The following is a 24,234-nucleotide window of genomic DNA, read 5'->3' on the forward strand; positions in this document are numbered from 1 at the left end:
GGTCCTCAGTCCTAGACCTCTGCTTCCTTAACGAACCTCCAGCTTCCTGTCCACTTCCAACGAAGCGGTCTATAAGATCTTTGATGACAGCCCCTGCCCATTTACTGCGAAAACCTGCAACCCAGAGGTGGGCGTCCCCGGGGTGGGGAGGGCAGGTATTGCCCCAGCAGGCCCCAGATGATTTGAAACCTCTCATGTCCACTTGGAGGTTCAGCAAACAATTGGCCCCTGTTGCATGTCCTGTGCTAGGTGTGGGGGAGGACGCACAGTGGGGAAGAGACTCTCTAACTGGATCGAACAACTTCCCAGGGCAAGCTGGCTTCCTCTCTTCAACTTGACCAGGCCTTCACCCTGGGTGCTAAATCACCCATTTTTCCCTACTTCCTTTTTTTTTTTTTTTTTTTTTAATAAGACAGAGTCTTGCTCTGTCACCAGGCTGGAGTGCAGTGGCATGATCTCAGCTCACTGCAACTTCCAACTCCCTGGTTCAAGCGATTCTCCTGCCTCAGCCTCCCGAGTAGCTGGGATTATAGGCACACACCAGCACACCAGGCTAATTTTTGTATTTTTAGTAAAGACAGGGTTTCACCATGTTAGCCAGGATGGTCTCGATCTCCTGACCTCGTGATCCACCTGCCTCTGCCTCCCAAAGTGCTGGGATTACAGGTGTGAGCCACCTCGCCCGGCCCATTTTTCCCCATTTCATTTCCTGTCTCCATGCCCTCTTCTTGACCCCAGTGATGGCCACGTCTTGTTTCTAGAATCCCTTCCTTTGCACAAGCCATATTCTGAACTCTTAATTCCTTCCCTTAACTTCAATCCCTATGTCTCCTGTCCTACCTCATGGTTTTCCTGGCCCCACACCTGATGCTCAGAGCCCACTGTGAACCCCTGGTGCCTCTTTTTGGACTCGGTTCTCCCTTCTCTCCCACAGACCTTCCCCTCCTCCAATGAGTCCCGCCAATGCCCCAATGCCCGTTGCCAGTTCGCCTTCTACGGTGGTGAGTCGGGCTACCACCGGGCCCTGCTGGGCCTGCAGATCTTCAATGCCTTCATGTTCTTCTGGTTGGCCAACTTCGTGCTGGCGCTGGGCCAGGTCACGCTGGCCGGGGCCTTTGCCTCCTACTACTGGGCCCTGCGCAAGCCGGACGACCTGCCGGCCTTCCCGCTCTTCTCTGCCTTTGGCCGGGCGCTCAGGTGGGCTGGCGTTGCAGGCAGGATGGGGTGGAGGACGAGGCCTGGCCCAGCCACCGACCACTCCCTCGGCCCGCAGGTACCACACAGGCTCCCTGGCCTTTGGCGCGCTCATCCTGGCCATTGTGCAGATCATCCGTGTGATACTCGAGTACCTGGATCAGCGGCTGAAAGGTACGTCCCACCCACGGTTCGCATTAGCTCCTGTTGCGGGGCGAGGCTGAATAGCGAACCAGGATTGGGTCTTGCTTGGAGGTGGGCGGGGCCAAGATAATAGAGCAGTGATGGGTTTCTGTCTATGACGGGGTGGAGTTCAGGAGTTGGCGTGATTGAGTCCTGCGATGGAGGAGCAAACCAGAGAACCTACTGGGTGGAATTCTTGCTGTTGAGGGGACAGGCCCAAGAGGCCTGGCCCACCATTGGTTATTACCAGAGTGAATTGGAGTGGTATATATTTGCGCTGAAGAGAGCAGGAATAAGACTGGTTTATTAGCCGGGCGCCGTGACTCACGCCTGTAATCCCAGCACTTTGGGAGGCTGAGGCGAGCGGATCACCTGAGGTCAGGAGACCAGCCTGGCCAACATGGTGAAACCCCGTCTCTACTACAAATACAAAAATTAGCCAGGCATGGTGGTGTGTGCGTCTGCAGTCCTAGCTACACGGGAGGCTGAGACAGGAGAATCACTTGAACTCCGGAGGTTGAGGTTTCAGTGGGCCGAGACCGAGCGACTGCACTCCAGCCTGGGCAACAGAGCGAGACTCCATTTCAAAAAAAGGAAAAAAAACTGGTTTATTTTTCTTAGAGGAAGGGCTCTGGGGCTGGGATTGATGGTACTTTGTTTTAGAGACAGGATCTCTCACCCTGTCACCCAGGCTGGAGTGCAGTGGCACCATCATAGCTCACTGCAGCCTCAAACTCCTGGGCTTAAGTCCCTGTCTCTTTGACAGCGTGGACTCAGGAGACCTGGACATTGGCAAGTGTGTGTGATAGGGAAGAGGGGATCCCTTCCAAGTCAGGCTGGTGTCCCCTCACTTCCACATCCCTTCCCTTCTCTTCCAGCTGCAGAGAACAAGTTTGCCAAGTGCCTCATGACCTGTCTCAAATGCTGCTTCTGGTGCCTGGAGAAGTTCATCAAATTCCTTAATAGGAATGCCTACATCATGGTGAGTGGGCCTGGGACCCCCAACCAACCCGCCAGCTCCTGCTGGGTGAGAGGACCACCCCCCATGCCCACCCAGTGGGTCTGATCTCTCCCTCCCACTCTCCTCCAGATTGCCATCTACGGCACCAATTTCTGCACCTCGGCCAGGAATGCCTTCTTCCTGCTCATGAGAAACATCATCAGGTCGGGAATCATTATCATCTTCCTCCTGCCACCCGCCTCTTCCCCTAGTCCCTGAAGCCAGCATTCACACCTGCCCCTCACTGTCCCCTGCAGAGTGGCTGTCCTGGATAAAGTTACTGACTTCCTCTTCCTGTTGGGCAAACTTCTGATCGTTGGTAGTGTGGGTGAGTGCCGCCCACCTAGCCTCTCGGGGTGTGGGAGCCTGATTTCTGTCTTCTGTGATGAGTGTCATCTTCTTAGGAGGCTGTTTCCTATATCCAGAACCCTTCGCCATCTTGCTTTCTTCTCCTTCTCCAGGGATCCTGGCTTTCTTCTTCTTCACCCACCGTATCAGGATCGTGCAGGATACAGCACCACCCCTCAATTATTACTGGGTTCCTATACTGGTATGGACCTCTGGGGAGAGATGGGGGTTTGGGAAGAAAGAGGTGTTGGGATTTGCTTGGTCTTCTTTGACTAGATAAATGTGGATAGAGGTCAGAGGTGGGGAATTGATTATTTATTCAGACCACAAACTTTTTGTTTGTTTTTGAATCAAGAGTCTTGCCCTGTCGCCCTGACTGGAGTGCAGTGGTGCAATCTTGACTCACTGCAACCTCTGCCTTCCGGGTTCAAGCGAATTCTCGAGCTTTTGCCTCCCGAGTAGTTGGGATTACAGGTGCCTGCCCCCACACCTGCCTAATTTTTGTATATTTATTTTTTAATTTTAATTTAATTTTTTTTTTGAGACAGACTCACTCTGTTGCCCAGGTTGGAGTGCAGTGAAATGATCTTGGCTTACTGAAACCTTCACCTCTCTAGTTCAAGCGATTCTTGTGCCTCAGCCTCCTGTGTAGCTGGGATTACAGGCACCTGCCACCACACCTGGCTAACTTTTTTTTTTTTTTGAGATGGAGTTTCACTCTTGTTGCCCAGGCTGGAGTGCAATAGGGTGATCTCAGCTCACTGCAACCTCCGCCTCCCAGGTTTAAGTAATTCTCCTGCCTCAGCCTCCCGAGTAGCTGAGATTACAGGCACGAGCCACCACGTGTGGCTAATTTTACATTTTTAGTAGAGACGGGGTTTCTCCATGTTGGTCAGGCTGGTCTCGAACTCCCGACCTCAGGTGATCCACCCGCCTCAGCTTCCCACAGTGCTGGGATTACAGGCGTGAACCACCACACCTGGCTAATTTTTGTATATTTAATAGAGATGGGGTTTCACCGTGTTGGCTGGGCTGGTCTCAAACTCCTGACCTCAAGTGATCCGCCCGCCTCGGGCTCGCAGAGTACTGGGATTGCAGGTGTGACCCACCACGCCCGACCTCAGACCACAAACATTATCAAGCACCTACTGTGTGTCAGGCATCGAGGTGGAGGGCTTCCCTCTAAAGGCCTTAGAGTTTGGGGGTAAACAGATACTCCTCCATAATGATATTGGTGAATGTATGATTGCAAACTGGGACATGCCACGAGTATGTCTGTATAGCACAGGGAACTGTTTGAAACTGTGGTGGGGGCTGGGCAGGTGTGGGGGGGGTCCAGGTGGTGCCATGCAGGTGATGTTGGATCTGAGATCTGAAGCTGCAGGCAATATCCAGGCAGAGGGAACAGTACAGTGGCCCTGAGGTGGGAGTGTGCCAGGAAGCAGTGGGGCTGACGTGGAAGGAGTAAAGAAGTGGAGATAAGGGCCAGGCACCGTGGCTCACACCTGTAATCCCAGCACTTTGGGAGGCTGAGGCAGGTGGATCACCTGAGGTCAGGGGTTTGAGACTAGCCTTGCCAGCATGGCGAAACCCAGTCTCTACAAAAAAAATACAAAAATTAGCGGGGCGTGGTTGTGGGCACCTGTAATCCCAGCTACTCGGGAGGCTGAGGCAGGAGAACTGCTTGAACCTGGGAGGCAGAGGTTTCAGTGAGCCGAGATCGCGCCACTGCACTCGAGCCTGGGTGACAGAGTGAGACTCTCTCTCAAAAAAAAAAAAGTGGAGATACGGCCAAGGAGGTTAACAAGGCTGTGGAGGGATTGAGCCTTCATTGCAAGGGCAGTATTGTATCTCAGTGTAGGTCTTGAAGCCCATTGACCTAGTTTCTTATTTTAGTTCCTCTATTTAGTAGTTCTAAGATGAGTAAGAGTAATCTTGGGCAAATTATTTAATCCTCTAAGGTCCACTGACTTTTTTTTTTTTTTTTTTTTTTCTGCGATAGAGCCTTGCTCTGTCACCCACGCTGGAGTGCGATGGAGTGATCTCTGCTCACCACAACCTCCACCTCCCGGGTTCAAGCGATTCTCCTGTCTCAGCTCCCTGACTAGCTGGGATTACAGGCATATGCCACTGTGCCCGGCTAATTTTTGTATTTTTAGTAGAGACGGGGTTTCACCCTGTTGGTCAGGCTGGTCTCGAACTCCTGACCTCAGGTGATCCACCCACCTCGGCCTTCCAAAGTGCTGCCAATAAAGGCATGAGCCCCTGTGCCTGGCCATTTCATTGTTTTGAATTTTTAATTTAATATAATAGAGATAGGCCAGGTGTTGTGGCTCAGGCTCTACTATAATAACAATAATAATAGAGGCAGTGTCTCCCTATATTGCCAGGCTGGTCTTGAACTCTGGACTCAAGGGATCCTCCTGCCTCAGCCTGCCAAAGTGCAAGGACTACAGGCATGAGCCACCACGCCCAGCCAGGTCCACTGACTTCAGTCAACAAATGTTTATCTAGCAGCTACCAAGGCCGTGTGAGTCTCCAGATTGCTAGGGATGCAGCAGTAAATGGGACTGGGTCTAGTGAGGATGTGAGCATTAAACCTGAAAGCCCTAAACATGCATAAAATTGCAGCTGCACCAAGAGCTCAGGAGGGGTGCCCAGTGCTAGGAGGACATAAAATAGGCTCTAGAGGCCGGGCATGGTGGCCCACACCTGTAATCCCAGCACTTTGGGAAGCCAAGGCAGGCGGATCATGAACGTCAGGAGATTGAGACCATCCTGGCTAACATGGTGAAACCCCATCTCTACTAAAAATACAAAAAAATTAGTCAGGTGTGCTGGTACGCACCTGTAGTCCCAGCTACTCAGGAGGCTGAGGTAAGAGAATCGCTTGAACCCGGGAGGTGGAGGTTGCACTGAGCCAAGGTCCCACCACTGCACTCCAGCCTGGGTGACAGAGCAAGATTCCGTCTCAGGAGGGAAAAAAAAAAGGCTCTCAGCCAGACGCAGGGGCCCACATGTATAATCCCAGCACTTTGGGAGGCCGAGGCAGGCAGATCGCTTGAGCTCAGGAGTTTGAAAACAGCCTGGGCAACATGGCAAAACCCCATCTCCACAAAAAAATACAAAAATTAGCTGGGTATGCTGGAACATGCCTGTAGTCCCAGCTCCTTGTAAGCCTGAGGTGGAAGGATCACTTGAGCCTGGGAGGTCAAGGCTGCAGTGAGCTGAGATGGGGCCACTGCACTCTAGCCTGAGCAACACAGTGAGACCCTGTCTCAAAAAAAAAACAAAAAAAAAACGCCCACTCTAGGTGTCGTAGGTGGTTTCCTGGAGGAGGTGGGACTTGAGGACTTGCTCTTTGAGCTGAAAGCAGAAGGTCGATGGGGCATAAATTAGATTTAAGTCAGGACAATAGCACATGCAGAGGCCCAGGGGTTAAAGAAAGCAAGGGTGAGGCTGAGTGCAGTGGCTCATACCTGTAGTCCCAGCACTTGGGGAGGCCAAGGTGGGCGAATCTCTTAAGCCCAGGATGGGTAATGGGTAACGTGGCAAAAACCCATCTCTACAAAAAATACAAAGGTTAGCCGGGCACAGTGGTGCACATCTGTAATCCCAACTACTCCGGAGGCTGAGGCGGGAGGATCACTTGAGCCCAGGAGGCAGAGGTTGCAGTGAGCTGAGATTGCACCACTACAATCCAGCCTGGGCTACAGAGTGAGACCGTGAGACCCTGTCTCAAAAAAAGAAAAAAAAAAAAGGCCGGGTGTGCGGTGGCTCACGCCTGTAATCCCAGCACTTTGGGAGGCTGCGAGGCAGGTGGATCACCTGAAGTCAGGCGTTTGAGACCAGCCTGGCCAACATGGTGAAACCCCGTCTCTACTAAAAATACAAAAATGAGCCAGGCGTGGTGGCACGTGCCTGTAGTCCCAGCTCCTCCGGAGGCTGAGGCAGAATTGCTTGAACCTGGAAGGCAGAGGTTGTAGTGAGCCAAGATCGTACCATGGCACTCCAGTCTGGGCAACAGAGTGAGATTCCGTCTCAAAAAAAAAAAAAAAAGACGGAGAGAGAGAAAGAGGATTTTGTGTGGATGGTGGGGCCCTGCCAGCGGGGGTGAGGGGTTGGGATGTCACTAATCCAAAGAGGGTTTCTCAGCAGGGGAAGGATGTGGTCCCAGCATAGGATGGACTCAGGGGGTGGGGGCTGCTCTGGGAAGGACACGGAGCAGGGACAGCTCGTTTCTCCTTGCCCAGACGGTGATCGTTGGCTCCTACTTGATTGCACACGGTTTCTTCAGCGTCTATGGCATGTGTGTGGACACGCTGTTCCTCTGCTTCTGTGAGTGACCCCTCACCCCAAACCTTGCTGGGCCCCGAATCCCTTCTTTCCACTGGGCATCACATCACCCTCCAACGGGGCAACACGCTTGCCTGCCCCCAGCTTCCCCAGGGCTTGGCTGTCCCTCGTCCTGGGTCCCCAGCCTGTCTTCCTGGTTTCCTTTTGCGCTTAGAAGCAGCTCCGACCTCCTGTCCACTGGCCCAGGCTGCAGCCTGGACGCTGCCCTGGAGCCCGCCCGCGCTTCGCAGTTTCTGGCTTTGACTGGGGGGAGGGGATCTGTGGCTGCCACTAACTCTGGTCTCTCCATCTGTTTTTTTTGTTTGTTTTTTTCTTCTCTCTTCCTCTCCTCCATGCCTGCTGGCTTCCCTGTTCTTCCCTGCCTCCCTCTTTCCCTCCCTTCCCGACCACCCCATTTTCCCCCTGCCGGTTCCCGGGGGGAGCCCAGGTGAGGACCTGGAAAGGAATGACGGCTCTCAGGAGCGACCCTACTTCATGTCGCCCGAGCTGAGAGACATCCTGTTGAAGGGGAGTGCGGAGGAGGGGAAGCGGGCAGAAGCCGAGGAGTAGAGAGTGAGGGAGACTGGCGTGGGGGCCAGGTTTCCTCCATGTAGACTGGGGGTGCATGAAGCGGGGGGGTTCCTGGCCTGCGAGTGTGGGGATCCTGTGTGTCCCTCGGAGCCCACTACAGTCTGCCCCTCTCTGGTCCCAGTGTGTCTGCTTTCTAACCCTCTGAGGCTTCTCTGTGACCCTCATCCACCTACCCTGTCCTTGAGGCCCCTGCCCGTGGGCTCCCCTCATGCCTCCTGCTCTGGGACCTCTCTCCACAGTGGAGGACCTGGAGAGGAATGACGGCTCGGCCGAGAGGCCTTACTTCATGTCTTCCACCCTCAAGAAACTCTTGAACAAGACCAACAAGAAGGCAGCGGAGTCCTGAAGGCCCCGTGCTCCCCACCTCTCAAGGAGTCTCATGCCGCAGGGTGCTCAGTAGCTGGGTCTGTTCCCCCAGCCCCTTGGGCTCACCTGAAGTCCTATCACTGCCGCTCTGCCCCTCCCCATGAGCCAGATCCCACCAGTTTCTGGACGTGGAGAGTCTGGGGCATCTCCTTCTTATGCCAAGGGGCGCTTGGAGTTTTCATGGCTGCCCCTCCAGACTGCGAGAAACAAGTAAAAACCCATTGGGGCCTCTTGATGTCTGGGATGGCACGTGGCCCGACCTCCACAAGCTCCCTCATGCTTCCTGTCCCCCGCTTACACGACAACGGGCCAGACCACAGGAAGGACGGTGTTTGTGTCTGAGGGAGCTGCTGGCCACAGTGAACACCCACGTTTATTCCTGCCTGCTCCGGCCAGGACTGAACCCCTTCTCCACACCTGAACAGTTGGCTCAAGGGCCACCAGAAGCATTTCTTTATTATTATTATTTTTTAACCTGGACATGCATTAAAGGGTCTATTAGCTTTCTTTCCGTCTGTCTCAACAGCTGAGATGGGGCCGCCAAGGAGTGCCTTCCTTTTGCTCCCTCCTAGCTGGGAGTGACGGGTGGGAGTGTGTGTGCCCAGGTGGGGGTGTCTCCTGGCTGGGAAGGAGGGAAAGGGAGGGAGAGTTTTGCGGGGGTTGGCAGTGGAGAGCAGGCTGGAGAGGAGATGGCTAATAGCTGTTTAATGGAAACCTGCTGGGCTGGAGGGAGTTAGGCTGAATTTCCCGACTTCCTCTGCCAGTTATTGACACAGCTCTCTTTGTAAGAGAGGAAAGAAACTAAACCCACCCAAGGGATGATGTCAGGGGGAGAGGTGGAGGGCAGATGTCCTGGGCAAACCGGGCCCCTCTGCCCACACACCTCACTTGATCCTTTTGCCAAACTTGTCAAACTCAGGGGAACTGGCTTCCCAGTTGCCCCTTTGCCATATTCCAAGTCCCCCTCAGACTTCATGTCTCTGCTCATCAGCACTGTCCCAGGATCCTGGAGAGGGAGAACTCCTGGCCCCAGGGGAAAGAGGGGGGGGTCTCCCGTTTCCTGTGCCTGCACCAGCCCTGCCCCCATTGCGTCTGCACACCCCTGCGTGTAACTGCATTCCAACCACTAATAAAGTGCCTATTGTACAGGTCCAGGCCTGGTGTGTTTGTTGGGGGCAGTGAGCCAGTGGCGGCTGGTAGGGGGAACCCCAGCTTCCAAGGCCCTAGGAGTCTCTGAACTAGGGCGATTCTCTCAAAGGGAACGAGGAGGGGGCAGGAAACCCACTGGCTGCTGGCTCTGCCTGAATTCCAACCTTCAGGCAGCTCAGATTTCCCGATTAGGCTCTAATCCCTGGACTCCAGAAGGCAGAGGCAGCCTGTCCACCTCCGCCATCACCCATCCTGGACACACGCCCCCAGGCCTCCCCTCTCTCAGGGCCCAGGCACCTGAGGTCCTGCAGTCACTATGCTCCCCAGCTACTTTGGATCTGCGAAGGGACTGACTGCCCTTGGGGTGGGCCCCACTGCCTGGAAGCTCGCTGCTGCCCCCTCGTGCCAGCTGCCAGTGTCAGTCACCTCCAGGCAATCCGCCCCAACATTTCAATTCTTTCCACCTCCTCTCAGGGAATTTTTCTTCAATATCCACTTTTTTTTTTTTTTTTTTTTTTCAGACAGTCTTGCCCTGTCACCCAGGGTGGAGGGCAGTGGTGCGATCTCGGCTCACTGCAACCTCCACCTCCCGGGTTCCAGCGATTCTTCTGCCTCAGCCTCCCGAGTAGTTGGGATTACAGGTGCCTGCCACCACGCCTGGCTAATTTTTTGTGTTTTTAGTAGAGACCAGGTTTCGCCATGTTGGGCAGGCTGGTCTCAAATTCCTCACTTCAGGTGATCCGCTGGCCTCGGCCTCCCAAAGTGCTGGGATTACAGGCGTGAGCCACCTGGCCCAGCCTTTTTTTTTTTTTTTTTTTTTTGAGACAGGATCTCACTCTGGCTGAAGCTAAAGTGCAGTGGTGCAATCATGGCTCACCACAGCCTCAGGTGATCCTCCCATCTTAGCCTCCCGAGTAGCTGGGACTACAGGTACACACCACCACACCTGACTAATTTTTGTATTTTTTGTAGAGATTGATTTTTACCATATTGCCCATGCTGGTTTTTTTTGTTTGTTTGTTTGTTTTTTGAGACAGAGTCTCCCTTTGTGGCCCAGGCCACAGTGCATAGTGCCACAGTGCAGTGGCACAGTCTCAGCTCACTAAACCTCCTGGATTCAAGTGATTCTCGTGCCTCAGCCTCCTGAGTAGCTGGGATTACAGGCGCGTACCACCACATCCAGCTAATTTTTGTAGTTTTAGTAGAGACGGGGTTTCACCATGTTGGCTAGCCTGGTCTCAAACTCCTGACCTCATGTGATCCACCTGCCTCGGCCTCCCAAAGTGCTGGGATTACAGGCATGAGCCACCAAGCCTGGCCAGCATTTTTGTTTGTTTGTTTCCAAGAAGGCATTTGAACCCAGGTCTTGGCTCCAGAGTCCTCAAGTTCTACCCTATGCTGGCACTGACCCCTTCCTCGATGCCTTTGTTTCCCTGGATCCTTTGAATCTGGCATTTTATTCAGCCCCAGCTCCTGTTACCATGCCCACCTAAAAAATAGCTCCTGGCGGCCGGGTGCGGTGGCTCATGCCTGTAATCCCAGCACTTTGGGAGGCTGAGGCGGGTGAATCATGAGGTCAGGAGTTTGAGACCAGCCTGGCCAACATGGTGAAAACCTGCTGCTACTAAAAATACAAAAATTAGCCAGGCATGGTGGCACATGCCTGTAATCCCAGCTACTCGGGAGGCTGAGGCAGGAGAATCGCTTGAACCCAGGAGGCAGAGGTTGTGGTGAACCAAGATGACACCATTGCACTCCAGCCTGGGCAACAGAGCAAAACTCTGTCTCAGAAAAAAAAAGAAAGAAAGAAAAAGATTTGTGGTACGATACATATAGCATAAAATTTGCCATCTCCATCTCTTTCTTATTTATTAAGCCACTGGGTCTCACTATGTTACCTGGGCTGGCCTTGAGCTCCCGGACTGAAGGGATCATCCCGCCTCAGCCTCCCAAGTAGCTGGGATGACAGGCACTCGCCACTGTGCCTGGTTTATGTTTAATTTTTTGAGGAACCACCATAGTGTTTTCTGGCTTCATGCTTTGGCTCCACTTCTGGGTTGGCTTCACTCTCTGCCAAGTTCCTTTATCTGGGTATATTCCCTGCCTCCAACCACACTGTGCTGTGATAGTTAATTTTAGGTGTGAACTTGGCTGGATTAGAAAATACTCAGATTTGAGCTGTGATGTGGTAAAAATAAGACAAAGAAAAAAAAAAAAACAGTGGCTGGGCTCCGTGGCTCACGCCTGCAATCAGCACTTTGGGAGGCCGAGGTGGGCAGATCGCTTGAGCTTGAATTCGAGACCAGCCTGGGCAACATGTGGAAAGCTTGTCTCAACAAAAACTATGAAAATTAGCAGGGTGTGGTGGTCATGCACATGTTGTCCCAGCTACTCAGTAGGATGAAGTGAGAAGGTCACTTTAGCTCAGGGGGTGGAGGGTGCAGTGAGCTGAGATCACACTACTGTGCTCCAGCCTGAGCGACAGAGCAACACGTCTGATAAAGCATTATTTCTGGGTGAGCGCCATCCAACTTGCTGGGGCTCCGACAGAACAGAAAAAGGAGAGAAAGCATTTTCCTCCTCAGAACTGGGACACTCTTCTCCTCCTGTCTTGACACTCCAAGACTTATACCAGTGATCCCTGGTTCTCAGGCCTTCGGCCTTGGACTGGGAATTACACCATTGGTGTCCCTGGCTCTGAAGCTTTAGGATTCAGACTGAGCCTCGCTACTGGCTTTGCAGGGTCTTCAGCTACTGGAGCTGCTGGCTTTTCAGGGTCTGCAGTCAATGCATGTGGTAGGACATCTCAGCCTCCATGATCACATGAGCCAATTATTCTGCTAAATCCCCTCTCATCTACCTACCTCCTATTAGCTTTCTCGGAGAAACCTAGTAATACACACATCATACATTTTCCTGGCCTTTTTTTTTTTTTTTTTTTTTTTTTGAGATGGAGTCTTGCTCTGTCACTCAGGCTGGAGTGCAGTGGCACGATCTAGGCTCACTGCAAGCTCCGCCTCCCGGGTTCACGCCATTCTCCTGCCTCAGCTCCTGAGTAGCTGGGACTACAGCTGCCCGCCACCACCCCCGGCTAATTTTTTTGTATTTTTCGTAGAGACAGGGTTTTACCATGTTAGCCAGGATGGTCTCGATCTCCTGACCTCATGATCCGCCTGCCTTGGCCTCCCAACGTGCTGGGATTACAGGCATGAGCCACCGCACGCAGCTACATTTTCCTGGCTTTAAGATGAGAAGTCTTCTCTTTTTTTGAGACGGAGTCTCGCTCTGTCGCCCAGCCTGGAGTGCAGTGGCATGATCTTGGCTCACTGCAACCTCCGCTTCCTGGGTTCAAGCAATTCTCTGCCTCAGCCTCCCGAGTAGCTGGGATTACAGGAGCCCGCCACCATGCCCGGCTAATTTTTGTATTTTTAGTAGAGATGGAGTTTCACCATCTTGGCCAGGCTGCTCTTGAACTCTTGAACTCTTGATCCACCCACCTCGGCCTCCCAAAGTGTTGGGATTAGAGGGCCAGAAAAGTCTTTTCTTGCTCCTAAGTCTCAGGCCTGGAGCTCACTGACTCTGACCAGCCTGATTATGATCATTTACTCATTGTAAATCATTGAGTCAATCATTGTAGTCAAGGTGTGGGCCTAGTTTGGGAGTCAGGCAGCAGGGACCTGCCATCTAGACTACAGTTTGATCAAGGGAGAGGAATGGTTCCCCAACAACTGTGGTCATCCCACAGTGTCCATCCCAGAGTGGTCACCCATGTCCACCCTGGGGGGGGGCAAGAAGGGAACAGGCATAGGACAAAAAGCTTTCGAGAGGGAAGTTAACTGGGTGTGATTGGGAGAGTGGGTGGAATCTTTCAAGATGAGGAAGACAATGAATAGAGAGGCTGTAAGGACAGCAGAGTCACTGAGAGTGACAGGACCTGTCTAGACTGACAGATTACAAGAGGGGGATGACCTCAATCTTCAACCAATGAGTGGGAGGGAGGGAAGAGAGAAGGAATAGCCAGATGACAGATGATGTCACTAAGGCAAGGAGGAGAGAATGGTGTTGTATACAGGGTTTGTGACCACTGAGTGGTGGAAGGACAAGGGCAGAGGTGCGAGGTCGGGTCAGGGTAGCAGTTCAGCAAGACAGGGCAGATGGCATCTTGTGTCTTCCATCCTTTACGGTGACCAGGGACTAGGAACCTGATGGATGGGGTTTATTGGAAAGTTGGGCTGAAAACTTTTTACTTCAAAAAATTTTTTTCTTTTTCCTTTTTTTTTTTTTTTGAGACGAAGTCTCACTCTTGTCCCCCAGTCTGGAGTGCAATGGTGCAATCTCAGCTCACTGCAACCTCCGCTTCCTGGGTTCAAGTGATTCTCCTGCCTCAGCCTCCCGAGTAGCTGGGATTACAGGTGCGTACCACCACGCCCAGCTAATTTTTTATATTTTAAGGAGAGATGGGGTTTCACCATGTTGGCCAGGCTGGTCTCGAACTCCTGACCTCAAGTGATCCACCCGCCTCGGCCTCCCAAAGTGCTAGGATTAGAGGGTGAACCACCACACCTGGCCCTTTCTTTTTTTTTTTAGACACAGTCTCCCTGTCACCCAGGCTGGACTGTAGTGGCTTGATCTCGGCTCACTGCAACCTCCACCTCCCAGGTTCAAGCGATTCTCGTGCCTCAGCCTCCCGAGTAGCTGGAATTACAGATGCCAGCCATCATGCCCAGCTACTTTTTGTACTTTTAGTAAAGACAGAGTTTCACCATGTTGGCCAGGGTGGTCTTGAACTCCTGACCTCAAGTGATCCACCAATCTCGGCCTCCCAATGTGCTAGGATTACAAGTATGAGCCACTGCCCCCAGCCTTCTTTTTGTTTTTATTCTTGAAAACTTTTTTTTTTTTTAATGTAGAGATGGGGCTGGGTGCAGTAGCTCATGCCTGTAATCCCAGCACTTTGGGAAGCCAAGGTGGGTGGATAACTTGAGGTCAGGAGTTTGAGACCAGCCTGGCCAACATGGCAAAACCCAGTCTCTACTAAAAATACAACAATTAGCTGACCATGGTGGTGTACGCCTGCAATCCCAGTGACTTGGGAGGCTAAGGCAGAATTGCTTAAACTCGGGAATTGGAGGTTGCAGTAAGCTGAGATTGTTATCACTGCACCCTAGCTGGGACTACAGAACGAGACTCCATCTCAAAAATAAATAAATAGATAGATAGATAAAAAACATAGAGATGGGGTCTCACTATGTTGCCCAGACTGGTCTTGAACTTCTGGGCTCAAGCAATCCCCCTGCCTCAGCCTCCCAAAGTGTAGGATTACAGGCATGAGCCAGCATGCCTGGCCAAGACAACATTTTTCAGGAAGTTCTGGTTGGATGGGGCACCCGTTCAAGAGGTAACAATCATAACCATTACTGTTTTTGAAGCTTTAACTCCATGCCAGGTACTGAAGCAACCCCTTGATGTTGAATTAACTCCGAATCAGTCCTCCTCCAAATCAAACCCTAGGAGGTTTGGGTTTGATCCAAAGACTGTGCTTGTCATCATGACCCTATCCGCCCTTTACTGTGTTTGGGGTCCCTGGGGCAAGAAACGCCTTAGCGGAATGAGATCTTCAAAAGCGTTTTAAGTAACCTTAGGCTCTCTGGAGTTGGGAGTCAGAAAACTAGTAACCATCCTCGTTCTGCCATTTGGCAGTGCTGTTAGCTCAAGCAAGTCACTAAAACTGACCTGTTCCGAAAAAAAGCCAGTCTAGGCTTTGTTATTAACATTCGTTATTATCACAGTGACCTTCAACAATTTAAAGCTTTAACCAATTTTTTGGTTTTGTTTTTGTTTTTTTGAGACAGGGCTTCTGTTGCCTAGGCTAGAGAGCAGTGGCCCAATCTCAGTTCACTGCAGCCTCAACCTCCTGGGCTCAAATGATCCTCCCACCTCAGCCTCCTGAGTAGCTGGGACTACAGGTGTGTTCCACCATGCCCTGGCATTTTAACCAATTTTATCTTAGTGCATGCCCCAATCATCTTACCAAACCTTTCTTCAATTTCCAGCTCTATTTGTGAGACAGATCTGAGGCACAGGAAATGAAATTAAAAAGCCTGGTGCAGAATAACTTATCAATTTATGTGAAAAACAAGAATATGATTATGCACCTCTGAAAATAAAACTCTACTGTAGTTACACAAAAAACTGTACAATGGCTGGTCGCGGTGGCTCACGCATATAATCCTAGCACTTTGGGAGGCCGAGGCGGGTGGATCACGAGGTCAGGAGATCGAGACCATCCTGACTCACCCGGTGAAACCCAGTCTCTACTAAAAATACAAAACATTAGCCGGGCGTGGTGGTGGGCGCCTGTAGTCTCAGCTACTCGGGAGGCTGAGGCAGGAGAATGGCGTGAACCCAGGAGGCGGAGCTTGCAGTGAGCCAAGATCGTGCCACTGCACTCCAGCCTGGGAGACAGAGCAAGACTCCGTTTCAAAAACAAAAAACAAAAAACAAAACTGTACAATGGCTTCTAAGAGGGAGGGAACTGGATGTCTGAGGAAGACTTTGTGCTCTCATGTCTTTGGCACTTTTTTTTTTTTTTGAGATGGAGTCTCACTCTGTCGCCCAGACTGGAGTGCAATGGCACGATCTCAGCTCACTGCAACCTCTGCCTCCCGAGTTCATGCCATCCTCCTGCCTCAGCCTCCCGAGTCGCTGAGACTACAGATGCCCACCACCACGCCCGGCTAATTTTTTTTTGTATTTTTAGTAGAGACGGGGTTTCACTGTGTTAGCCAGGATGGTCTTGATCTCCTGACCTCGTGATCCGCCCACTTCAGCCTCCCAAAGTGCTGGAATTACAGGCGTGAGCCACCGCGCCCGGCGTCTTTGGCACATTTGACGTATCATGTGACTATGCTACCTATTAAAAATCCACAGTAAAATGTAAATAAAATAGAAAAGCAGAGGGTACAGCATGCACTCATTTCTTTTTTGAGACGGTCTAGCTGTGCCATCCAGGCTGAAAAGTGCAGTGACTCCATCACGGCTCACTGCAGCCTGGACCTCCACAGCTCAAGTGATCCTCCCACCTACTCCTCCCAAGTAGATGGAACTATGGACACAGGCCATCACGCTCAGCTAATTTTTGTAGAGACTGGGTTTTGCCATGTTGCTCAAGCTGGCCTCAAACTCCTGGGCTTAAGGGATCCTCCAGCCTCGGCCTCCCAAAGTGTGGGGATTACAGGCGTGAGCCACCATGCCCGGCTAGGCACTCATTTCTGTAATTGTTGCAGGAAACAAAGGACCAGAGAGACTGACACGGGAAACAGGAGGATTTATTTAGATGTACACCGGCTCAGTGGATTTGTATCTGAAAAGCTGACCATTGAACAAAGACTGAGTGTGGTTTTTATAGGCAAACTTACAGAAGCAAAACAAAAGCAGTTAATGATACAGTCACAGGTCATGTAATCTATAGCATAACTGCTGACTTAGCATAACTTGTGGCTTTGCACAGCTGTTGGCCTTGCAGCTGTGTCAAAAGAAAAACAGAGTCTACAAATCTTACTAAATACAACCATTGGCAAACAGTCATATTTAATGGTTCAGAAAAGGAGAGACAGTAAAGGAATTTTTCTTTTCAACTTTGCTCCGGAGGAGGCTGTCTGGAGCCCATTCCTTTGGCCTCGACTTTTCAGTGTTATAACTGTCCTTGAAGTAAGCTGGCTAAGCAGAGGAAAACTTGTTCTTGTTTTCTTTTTAACCCTTACCCCCTGCCACATAATCACATCTTTACACTTCTTTTTTTTTTTTTTTTTTTTTTTTAAGATGGGAAGTCGGAGTCTCGCTCTGTCGCCCAGGCTGGAGTGCAGTGGTGCCATCTCGGCTCATTGTAACCTCTGCCTCCCAGGTTCAAGTGATTCAAGCCATTCTTGTGCCTCTGCCTCCTGAGTAGCTGGGATTATAGGCGCACACCACCACACCTGGCGAATTTTTTTTTTTTTTTTTTTTTGAGGCTGAGTCTCACTCTATCGCCCAGGCTGGAGTGCAATGGAGCAATCTCGGCTCACTGCAACCTCCGCCTCCTGGGTTCAAGCGATCCTCCTGTCTCAGCTTCCTGATTAGCTGGGATTACAGGCGCCCTCCACCACACCCAGTTAATTTTTCTATTTTTAGTGGAGACGGTGTTTCACCATGTTGGCCAGGCTGGTCTCAAACTCCTGACCTCAAGTGATCCGCCCACCTCAGCTTCCCAAAGTGCTGGGATTACAAGCGTGAGCCACCACGCCCAGCCAGGAAACCCATTTTCAACACCTCCTTGCTCTTTTTTTTTTCTGAGACAGAGTCTCGCTCTGTCGCCCAGACTGGAGTGCAGTGGCGCAATCTCGGCTCACTGCAACCTCCGCCTGCCAGGTCAAACAATTCTCCTGCCTCAGCCTCCCAAGTAGGTGGGACTACAGGCATGTGCCACCACACCCGGCTAATTTTCTTTTGTATTTTTAGTAGAGACGGGGTTTCACCATGCTGGCCAGGCTGGTCTCGAACTCCTGACCTCGTGATCCGCCCGCCTCGGCCTCCCAAAGTGCTGGGATTACAAACGTGAGCCACCGCGCCTGGCCTTCCTTGCTCTTCTTGCTCCAAATCCTGGGAACGTCTGAATCAACAGGCGGACATCTGTCAAACCTTCCTAGCAACTACGCCTGCGGATGGCCAACCTGACCCTGGAAGACAGTGGGGTTTAGTTAAGCACAGATTGTACATCGGGGGCCTCATAAGGCGCCTGGAAGCATTCAAGAACACCACGCTTGTAAGGACAAAGCACTCGGTCACGGGCGCCTTTACTTCGGAGCTCCGCGCTGCTGCTGGACGAGCGTCCGTTGAGTCCCAGCCCCAATTTTTCCAGGAAATGGCGGTGAGCCCTCTAGTGAGATATTTTTTGGCCTGGGCCTCAGTTTCTCCATCTGTCAATGGGGGAAGGGGAAGGCGGGCTAGAGGACCCCGACCAGGTCGGCTGCAGCCTTCGGAAGCTACGGCCCAGGGACGCCACACCAAGGCAGGTCTGCGGGACGAAAGAACCCAAGAACCCGGGCGCGCATTGGCGCCGGTCCCGGGCTCAAGGGGCAGCAACGAGGAGACGCTGGACCTGGCCGTTCCTCGCACACATCTCTAACCTTCTGTGCCTCTCAAGGGAGATGGGGTGAGCATAGCCACCTCCACTGGAGCCCGAAAATCCCCGGCCGAGATACCGCCACTAAAAAGGTACACATGCGTCAAAGCCTCTCGGAGCCATTTCCGCTAACGTACTCAGGGCGACGGGCGTAAGATGGCGGCCGCGCAGGCGCAAAATGTCGCAGCCGTAGGGAGGCTCCGCCTCTGACGCTTGCCTTGCATCACGTGGTAATGGCCGCTCAAAAAACGCCTTAGCGAAAACCAGAGCGTGCCCTCGTCACGTGATGGAGGACTCCCAGTACGGCAAAGGGAAGGCGCCAAAAGTTGTCAGATGGCGAAGGAAACCGCGAAATTCGCCATTGTCACATGATGGAGCAACCTATCGAAAGCGGAGGGAAAGGTGCCGAAGTCACGTGACTACGCACGCAAACACTCCCGCTTGCACCACGTGCAACTCACGCCCACCCCCTCAGCCCCCCCCTTATCTCTTTTCGCCCCTCCCTCCCATTTGGGTTGGGCCTGCGTCGAGGCGCAACGCGGCGTCAAAGGGGGCGGGGCTTCAGCCGGTCACGTGTTCCCGCACCTCCCCGGCGCGCGCCTGCCCGCCCGCCCGCTCGCCCCCGGTCCGGACTCCTCCTCCTCCTCTTCTCGCCATTGCAGTTGGACCCAGCAGCCCGGCGCGCACCGCGTGGCTTTTGGGGGCAGACCCCGGCGGGCTGTGGCAGGAGGGCGGCGGCGGCGGCTGCGGTCGAAGAAGGGGACGCCGACAAGGTAAGCGTCAATGTGGCGGCGGCCGGGCCCGCTCCCGCCTCTGCCCCTCCCCCCGCCCGCCCTCAGTGAGATCCCCACTGAGGGTTCGCGGTGACAAGGCTGGAGGGATCCCACGCTCGCCGCCTCCGCCCGGTTCCCTCATCCCGGCGCCTGGCCCGTTCCTCCCTTGCCGGCCTCGCTCCCGCGCTCGGCCGTTAACTCTCTTCCATTGTGCGGAGGAAACAAAATGGCGGCTGCGGCGGCGGCGAGGACTCGGTGCGCGCGCAGCCGCTCCCCCCCGCACGCGGCCCCTCGGCCGGCGGCGGCGCCACGCGCGGGGGGGTGCGCGCGCACCGGGCCCCCGGCTGCCGCCTCCCCGCGGCTGGGCTTTTGTCTGTTGCGGGGGTCCTGGGGACGCGCGCACGTGCTTGGAGCACACACCCCCTCGGGTCCCGAGTTCCGCGGCGGGGCGACCCCCCTTCCTCACTCCTTCCCTACCCCCTCCTCCTCTTTGTCCCGGTCCCGCCCCCGATTCCAGGAGAGTCCCAGGTTCCCGAGGCGGGAAAAGTCGCCTCCTTTGTCCTCACAGGTCGCGGAGAGGCGGACCCCCTCCTTGGAAGCCCCTTCCCACGCGGATTGCTGAGGAAGCCTTTGTGGGTTCGTCGGGTTTCCAAATCTCTGGTCAGCCAGGCCTCTCTCAGATCAGGGTCAAAACTTGAGAGGGTTTCAGCTTTTTCTTTAGTTAGTTTGTTTTCATTGTTGAATGTTTTTCCAGATTGTTAGTATTTGCCTTCTCTAGACCGGCAATCTACTTGGGTGCAAGCCTGGGCCCCGAAACGTGGATGCTTAAAACCCATTTCTACCTTTATTTTCTCAAGTAGTTGAACGATTGAGATTCTCGAGGTTACTCATGAGGTTCTGCCCCAGTTAATTCACCGCCTGGATGAATTATTTGGGGTGTACGGCGGTCTGCATGCTCCTCCCCCAGTTCAGTGGCCAAATTTGAGGAGAATGAGGGATCTCTTCTCCACATTTCCAACATTGTTTGCCAGTTGCTGCTTAGGTGACATGGATCAGCAACGAAGCGTCGGTTTCAGTGGTTTCTTTTTCTGGACTCCGGTAATTCACTGCTGCTGAATCTTTTTCAAGATTTTGCTCTCTTTAAAATGAGTGGTGTGATGGCATATTTGTGGTCCACATGGAATCGCGAGGTGCCATCCGAAGTTAGGATTCAAATTTAGGACTTTAAGCTCTCTTTTCCTCAGGTATTTGTGGATGGGAATCTCCATGGATTGCTCAGAGTGCTGCCACTGTCCCTTGTGCGTGATGCTTTGTGTGTGGTCTCGTGGGATGTAGTTACAGTAGCCGCCCAGACTGTGAATGAAGTGTGGGAACCAGGGCCTCATTCACAGCTGGAAAGCAGGAGGAGGCCGCAGGACATTGGCAGGTGCTCCTCTCCCTGTTCCGTGGTGCTGGGGCCCCTTGCTTATGTGGGTGGCTCTTGGTCCCTGGGATTTGTGAATGGAGTCTGCAGGCCCCAGTGTTGTCTGGAATATTCTTTAGTTCAGATTGGAGGCTAGCAATGACTGCCAGGCTTGGCCTTGCCGCCACTGGGCGCTATTTATCACTCTCCCTATCTTCCTGGAGCTTAGCCGAGTCTTCCTGGAGCTGAGAGGTGCCTAATTGTTTGTGGTTTTTCTGATTGAACTTGTTTGGTGCCTCTAGGCAAAAATTCCTTTGGCTCCTTCTAGTATTTTCAGGGTCTTGAAGGCCCATATTCCTGAGCATGAGGAATCTAAGTCTGTTATTTTTTCCTAAATTTTCATGTTAAATACCACGTTGACAAAGGACAGCTGCTAATATTTTGATCACACAGATACAGACGGTGCTCCCTGGTTAAGGCCTCCAGGTAGGGGACAGGTAGAGTCAGTGATGGGGAAGAAGCCTTCTGTAAGTCCCTTTCCTTTGGGTAGACAGTAGATTACCCTTTAGGCTTTAGCAAGATGTGGGGGTTAGAAGTCTTCTATTCTTGGAAAAGCCTTTAGTCGTTTTCTTTGGGCTGGGGCCTCTTCTCTTAGGGACTGCTGTCACCCTTTCTCGGTTTCTTTTGATTACCTTTCATGGCCCCAGAGGAGTGATCCCTTCCCTTATTTATACCTCTTGGACTTGTCATCCTGCTACATTTTGTCAGCAAGTTAATTCACCTTGTGCAGTTTTGAAAGATGTGTAAGTGTTAACATTTAGTATTAGCATTTATGGCCCAGGAAATTGTGACCTTAATATTTGAATCTTGCTTTTATTAAACCTTTACAGGAACTAGGATTTTGTAGGGTTTTTTTTTTTTTTTTTTTTTTGAGTTAGAGTTTAGCTCTTGTTGCCCAGGCTGGAGTGCAATGGCGCGATCTCGGCTCACCGCAACCTCCACCTCCCGAGTTCAAGCGATTCTCCTGCCTCAGCCTCCCGAGTAGCTGGAATTACAGGCATGCTCCACTACACCTAGCTAATTTTGCATTTTTACTAGAGATGGGGCTTCTCCATGTTGGTCAGGCTGGTCTCGAACTCCGAACCTCAGGTGATCCACCGGCCTCGGTCTCCCAGAGTTGTGGGATTACAGGCGTGAGCCACCATGCCCAGCCTTCTAGGTTCTGTTTATTGGATGCTTTTTATCTTAACAAAGTCCTGGCAGAGAAAGATTTGATTTGTTTCCATCAGGAAGTTTGGAATCTGAGGCAGATAGTGGTTTGAGTGTCATCTTCACACAATGAATGAGTAGAGATTTGGGGCCTGGGAGGCACGAGGCAAACTTTAGTTTCCTACTGAAGCATTTGTCCGTTTTATCTGAAACAAGTAGATTGCCGATCTGTATTATTATACATAGTAAGCTGCTGTTGAAATGGTTGTGAAAGTAGAGTAGGCAGGTAGGTGGTGGTTAGGGGGCCTCATCGGTGCTGATTTTTAAGAAATTTTTATGATATTTATGATCTGTTATAAATCCTTGTGAAACTTTTCCATGAGAACACTTCACGGGTGATTCCATTATGAATAGCAATTGGTGGCCGGGTGCGGTGGCTCACGCCTGTAATCCCAGCACTTTGGGAGGCTGAGGTGGGCGGATCACGACGTCAGGAGTTCGAGACCAGCCTGACCAGCATGGTGAAACCCCGTATCTACTAAAAAAAAAAAGTACAAAATTAGCCAGGTACGGTGGCACACACCTGCAGTCCCAGCTATTCGGGAGGCTGAGGCAGCGAATCGCTTGTACGTAGGAGGCGGAGGTTGCAGTGAGCTGAGGTCGTGCCGCTGCACTCCAGCCTGTGTGATGGAGCAAGACTTCGTATGAAAAAAAAATAATAACAATTGGAAATTCAGATACATTTAGCATCAGCTGTATTTAGGCATCGTGTAAAAGTGATGTCCAGTTAAAATTTAATTTAATTTTTTTTTTTGAGACAGGGTCTCACTCTGTCACCCAGGCTGGAGTGCAGTCGCGTGATCTCCGCTCACTGCAGCCTCTGTCTCTGAGGCTCAAGAAGCAATCCTCCCACCTCAGCCTCCCAAGTAGCTGGAACCACAGGCACATGTCACCACACCCAGCTAATTTTTTGAATTTTTTGTAGAGACAGGATCTTTCCACGTTGCCCAGGCTGGCCTCAGAACTCTTGGGCTCAAGCAATCTGCCCACCTTGGCCTCCCAAAAAGCTGGAATTACTGGAGTGAGCCCTCACTCCTGGCCAGAATTTACCTTTTTTCTCTTCTCATTAAATGTTTACGTAGTGAAGACATTGAAAATGTAGCTACTAGTTTTTTTTAAATTTTTAATCTAATTTTATTTTTTTGTAGAGATAGGGTCTTAAACTATGTTGCCCAGGCTGGTCTCAAATTCCTAGGCTCAAGTGATCCTCCTGCAGCCTCTCAAAGTGCTGGGATTACAGATATGAGCCGCCTTGCCCAGTGGCACTAATTTTAAGACAAAAATATGTTTACTGTCTGAGGGCCATTCTCTTGTGGAATGCGTGATCACCATGTATCATTTAGTCATAAAGTTGAATGTATTACAGTATGCAAATTTGCTCCAAATTATTTTTATAATTTTAAGTGATAGTAAGAAGTTCTGGCCAGGCGCGGTGGCTCAGGCCTGTAATCCCAGAACTTTGGGAGGCCGAGGCGGGCGGATCACAAGGTCAGGAGATCGAGACCATCCTGGCTAACCCGGTGAAACCCCGTCTCTCTTAAAAAATACAAAAAAATTAGCCGGGCGTGGTGGCGGGTGCCTGCAATCCCAGCTGCTGAGGAGGCTGAGGCAGGAGAATGGCGTGAACCCGGGAAGCGGAGCTTACAGTGAGCAGAGATTGTGCCACTGTACTCCAGCCTGGGCGACAGCAAGATTCTGTCTCAAAAAAAAAAAAAAAAGTTCTACTTTGCAGTGTGAAGTACATAATTTTCACTGAACATGCCCAACAGCTGTCCTTATCTTTTCGAGGATTTTGCTTGAAGCTGAAGGTTAAGGTCTTACTTAGATAAAGATAAAAGGTCTTGGAGATGAGTAAGTCTTCCAGGCCACTTTCTTTTCTGCTGCTTGCCTATAAAACTAGTTTCTCATATCAGAGTGTTGTTTTTTTTTTTTTTTGAGATGGAGTCTCACAGTGTCACCTAGGCTGGAGTGCAGTGGCACGGTCTCGGCTTACTGCAACCTCCGCCTCCTGGGTTCAAGTGTTTCTCTTGCCTCATTTCTCTTGCCTCAGCCTCCCAAGTAGCTGGAATTACAGGCACCTGCCGTCACGCCCAGCTAATTTTTTGTATTTTTAGTAGAGATGAGGTTTCACCATTTTGCTCGGGCTAGTCTCGAATACCTGACCTCAAGTGATCTGCTGCCTCAGTCTCCCAAAGTGCAGGAATTACAGGTGTGAGTCACAACGCCGGTTCTAATTTTTTTTTTTTTTTTTTTTTTTTTTGAGATGAGTCTCGCTCAGTCGCCCAGGCTAGAGTGCAGTGGCGCGGCTTACTGCAAGCTCCGCCTCCCGGGTTCATGCCATTCTCCTGCCTCTGCCTCCCAAGTAGCTGGGACTACAGGCACCCGCCACTACGCCCGGCTAATTTTTTTGTATTTTTAGTAGAGACGGGGTTTCACCATATTAGCCAGGATGGTCTCAATCTCT

The 24,234-nt window shown here is 51.8% G+C and overlaps 2 protein-coding genes and 1 long non-coding RNA gene across 32 annotated transcripts in view, besides 8 other annotated features; 2 read left to right on the plus strand and 1 right to left on the minus strand.

Moving 5' to 3' along the window:
- The window catches only part of SLC44A2 (solute carrier family 44 member 2 (CTL2 blood group)), a 42,103-nt gene extending 32,934 nt beyond the window's left edge, over positions 1–9,169 (plus strand). For 2 of the 5 annotated variants that reach the window (XM_047439113.1, XM_047439112.1), the window contains exons 14-22: positions 43–127; positions 935–1,197; positions 1,274–1,368; positions 2,256–2,359; positions 2,468–2,541; positions 2,635–2,705; positions 2,839–2,927; positions 6,979–7,063; positions 7,509–9,169. In XM_047439113.1, coding sequence (XP_047295069.1) covers positions 43–127; positions 935–1,197; positions 1,274–1,368; positions 2,256–2,359; positions 2,468–2,541; positions 2,635–2,705; positions 2,839–2,927; positions 6,979–7,063; positions 7,509–7,630 — 988 coding nt within the window. In that variant the 3' untranslated portion in view covers positions 7,631–9,169. The remainder of the gene's footprint in view (positions 1–42; positions 128–934; positions 1,198–1,273; positions 1,369–2,255; positions 2,360–2,467; positions 2,542–2,634; positions 2,706–2,838; positions 2,928–6,978; positions 7,064–7,508) is intronic. The other 3 variants (NM_001145056.2, NM_020428.4, NM_001363611.2) reach the window with 2 other exon arrangements.
- Positions 1,172–1,694: an enhancer, noted in NCBI's record as "H3K4me1 hESC enhancer chr19:10747236-10747758 (GRCh37/hg19 assembly coordinates)". NCBI's record gives its function as "activates a minimal SCP1, AML or CMV promoter by ChIP-STARR-seq in naive H9 embryonic stem cells {active_cell/tissue: H9 hESC(naive)}" and the evidence as "EXISTENCE:reporter gene assay evidence [ECO:0000049][PMID:30033119]".
- ILF3-DT (ILF3 divergent transcript) lies at positions 16,474–18,484 on the minus strand. The gene has a single exon (NR_024333.1). It is a non-coding gene; the product is annotated as an ILF3 divergent transcript (long non-coding RNA).
- Positions 16,966–17,468: an enhancer, noted in NCBI's record as "H3K27ac-H3K4me1 hESC enhancer chr19:10763030-10763532 (GRCh37/hg19 assembly coordinates)". NCBI's record gives its function as "activates a minimal SCP1, AML or CMV promoter by ChIP-STARR-seq in naive H9 embryonic stem cells {active_cell/tissue: H9 hESC(naive)}" and the evidence as "EXISTENCE:reporter gene assay evidence [ECO:0000049][PMID:30033119]".
- Positions 17,469–17,970: an enhancer, noted in NCBI's record as "NANOG-H3K27ac-H3K4me1 hESC enhancer chr19:10763533-10764034 (GRCh37/hg19 assembly coordinates)". NCBI's record gives its function as "activates a minimal SCP1, AML or CMV promoter by ChIP-STARR-seq in naive H9 embryonic stem cells {active_cell/tissue: H9 hESC(naive)}" and the evidence as "EXISTENCE:reporter gene assay evidence [ECO:0000049][PMID:30033119]".
- Positions 17,469–18,005: a biological region, named in NCBI's record as "NANOG-H3K27ac-H3K4me1 hESC enhancer GRCh37_chr19:10763533-10764034".
- Positions 17,836–18,005: an enhancer, noted in NCBI's record as "active region_13982". NCBI's record gives its function as "activates an Ori minimal core promoter by ATAC-STARR-seq in GM12878 lymphoblastoid cells {active_cell/tissue: GM12878}" and the evidence as "EXISTENCE:reporter gene assay evidence [ECO:0000049][PMID:35858748]".
- Positions 18,246–18,715: an enhancer, noted in NCBI's record as "active region_13983". NCBI's record gives its function as "activates an Ori minimal core promoter by ATAC-STARR-seq in GM12878 lymphoblastoid cells {active_cell/tissue: GM12878}" and the evidence as "EXISTENCE:reporter gene assay evidence [ECO:0000049][PMID:35858748]".
- Positions 18,806–19,045: a silencer, noted in NCBI's record as "silent region_10086". NCBI's record gives its function as "represses an Ori minimal core promoter by ATAC-STARR-seq in GM12878 lymphoblastoid cells {active_cell/tissue: GM12878}" and the evidence as "EXISTENCE:reporter gene assay evidence [ECO:0000049][PMID:35858748]".
- The window catches only part of ILF3 (interleukin enhancer binding factor 3), a 38,055-nt gene continuing 32,778 nt past the window's right edge, over positions 18,958–24,234 (plus strand). For 16 of the 26 annotated variants that reach the window (NM_001394808.1, NM_001394811.1, NM_017620.3 and 13 more), the window contains exon 1: positions 18,958–19,099. The gene's annotated coding sequence lies outside the window, so the exon portion shown is untranslated. Of the gene's footprint in view, positions 19,100–19,652; positions 21,305–24,234 lie in introns of those variants that run through there. The other 10 variants (XM_047438778.1, NM_001394809.1, NM_001394816.1 and 7 more) reach the window with 3 other exon arrangements.
- Positions 19,126–19,285: a silencer, noted in NCBI's record as "silent region_10087". NCBI's record gives its function as "represses an Ori minimal core promoter by ATAC-STARR-seq in GM12878 lymphoblastoid cells {active_cell/tissue: GM12878}" and the evidence as "EXISTENCE:reporter gene assay evidence [ECO:0000049][PMID:35858748]".

The sequence above is a fragment of the Homo sapiens genome, chromosome 19, assembly GCF_000001405.40.
Source record: "Homo sapiens chromosome 19, GRCh38.p14 Primary Assembly".
NCBI classification, from domain to species: Eukaryota; Metazoa; Chordata; class Mammalia; order Primates; family Hominidae; genus Homo; species Homo sapiens.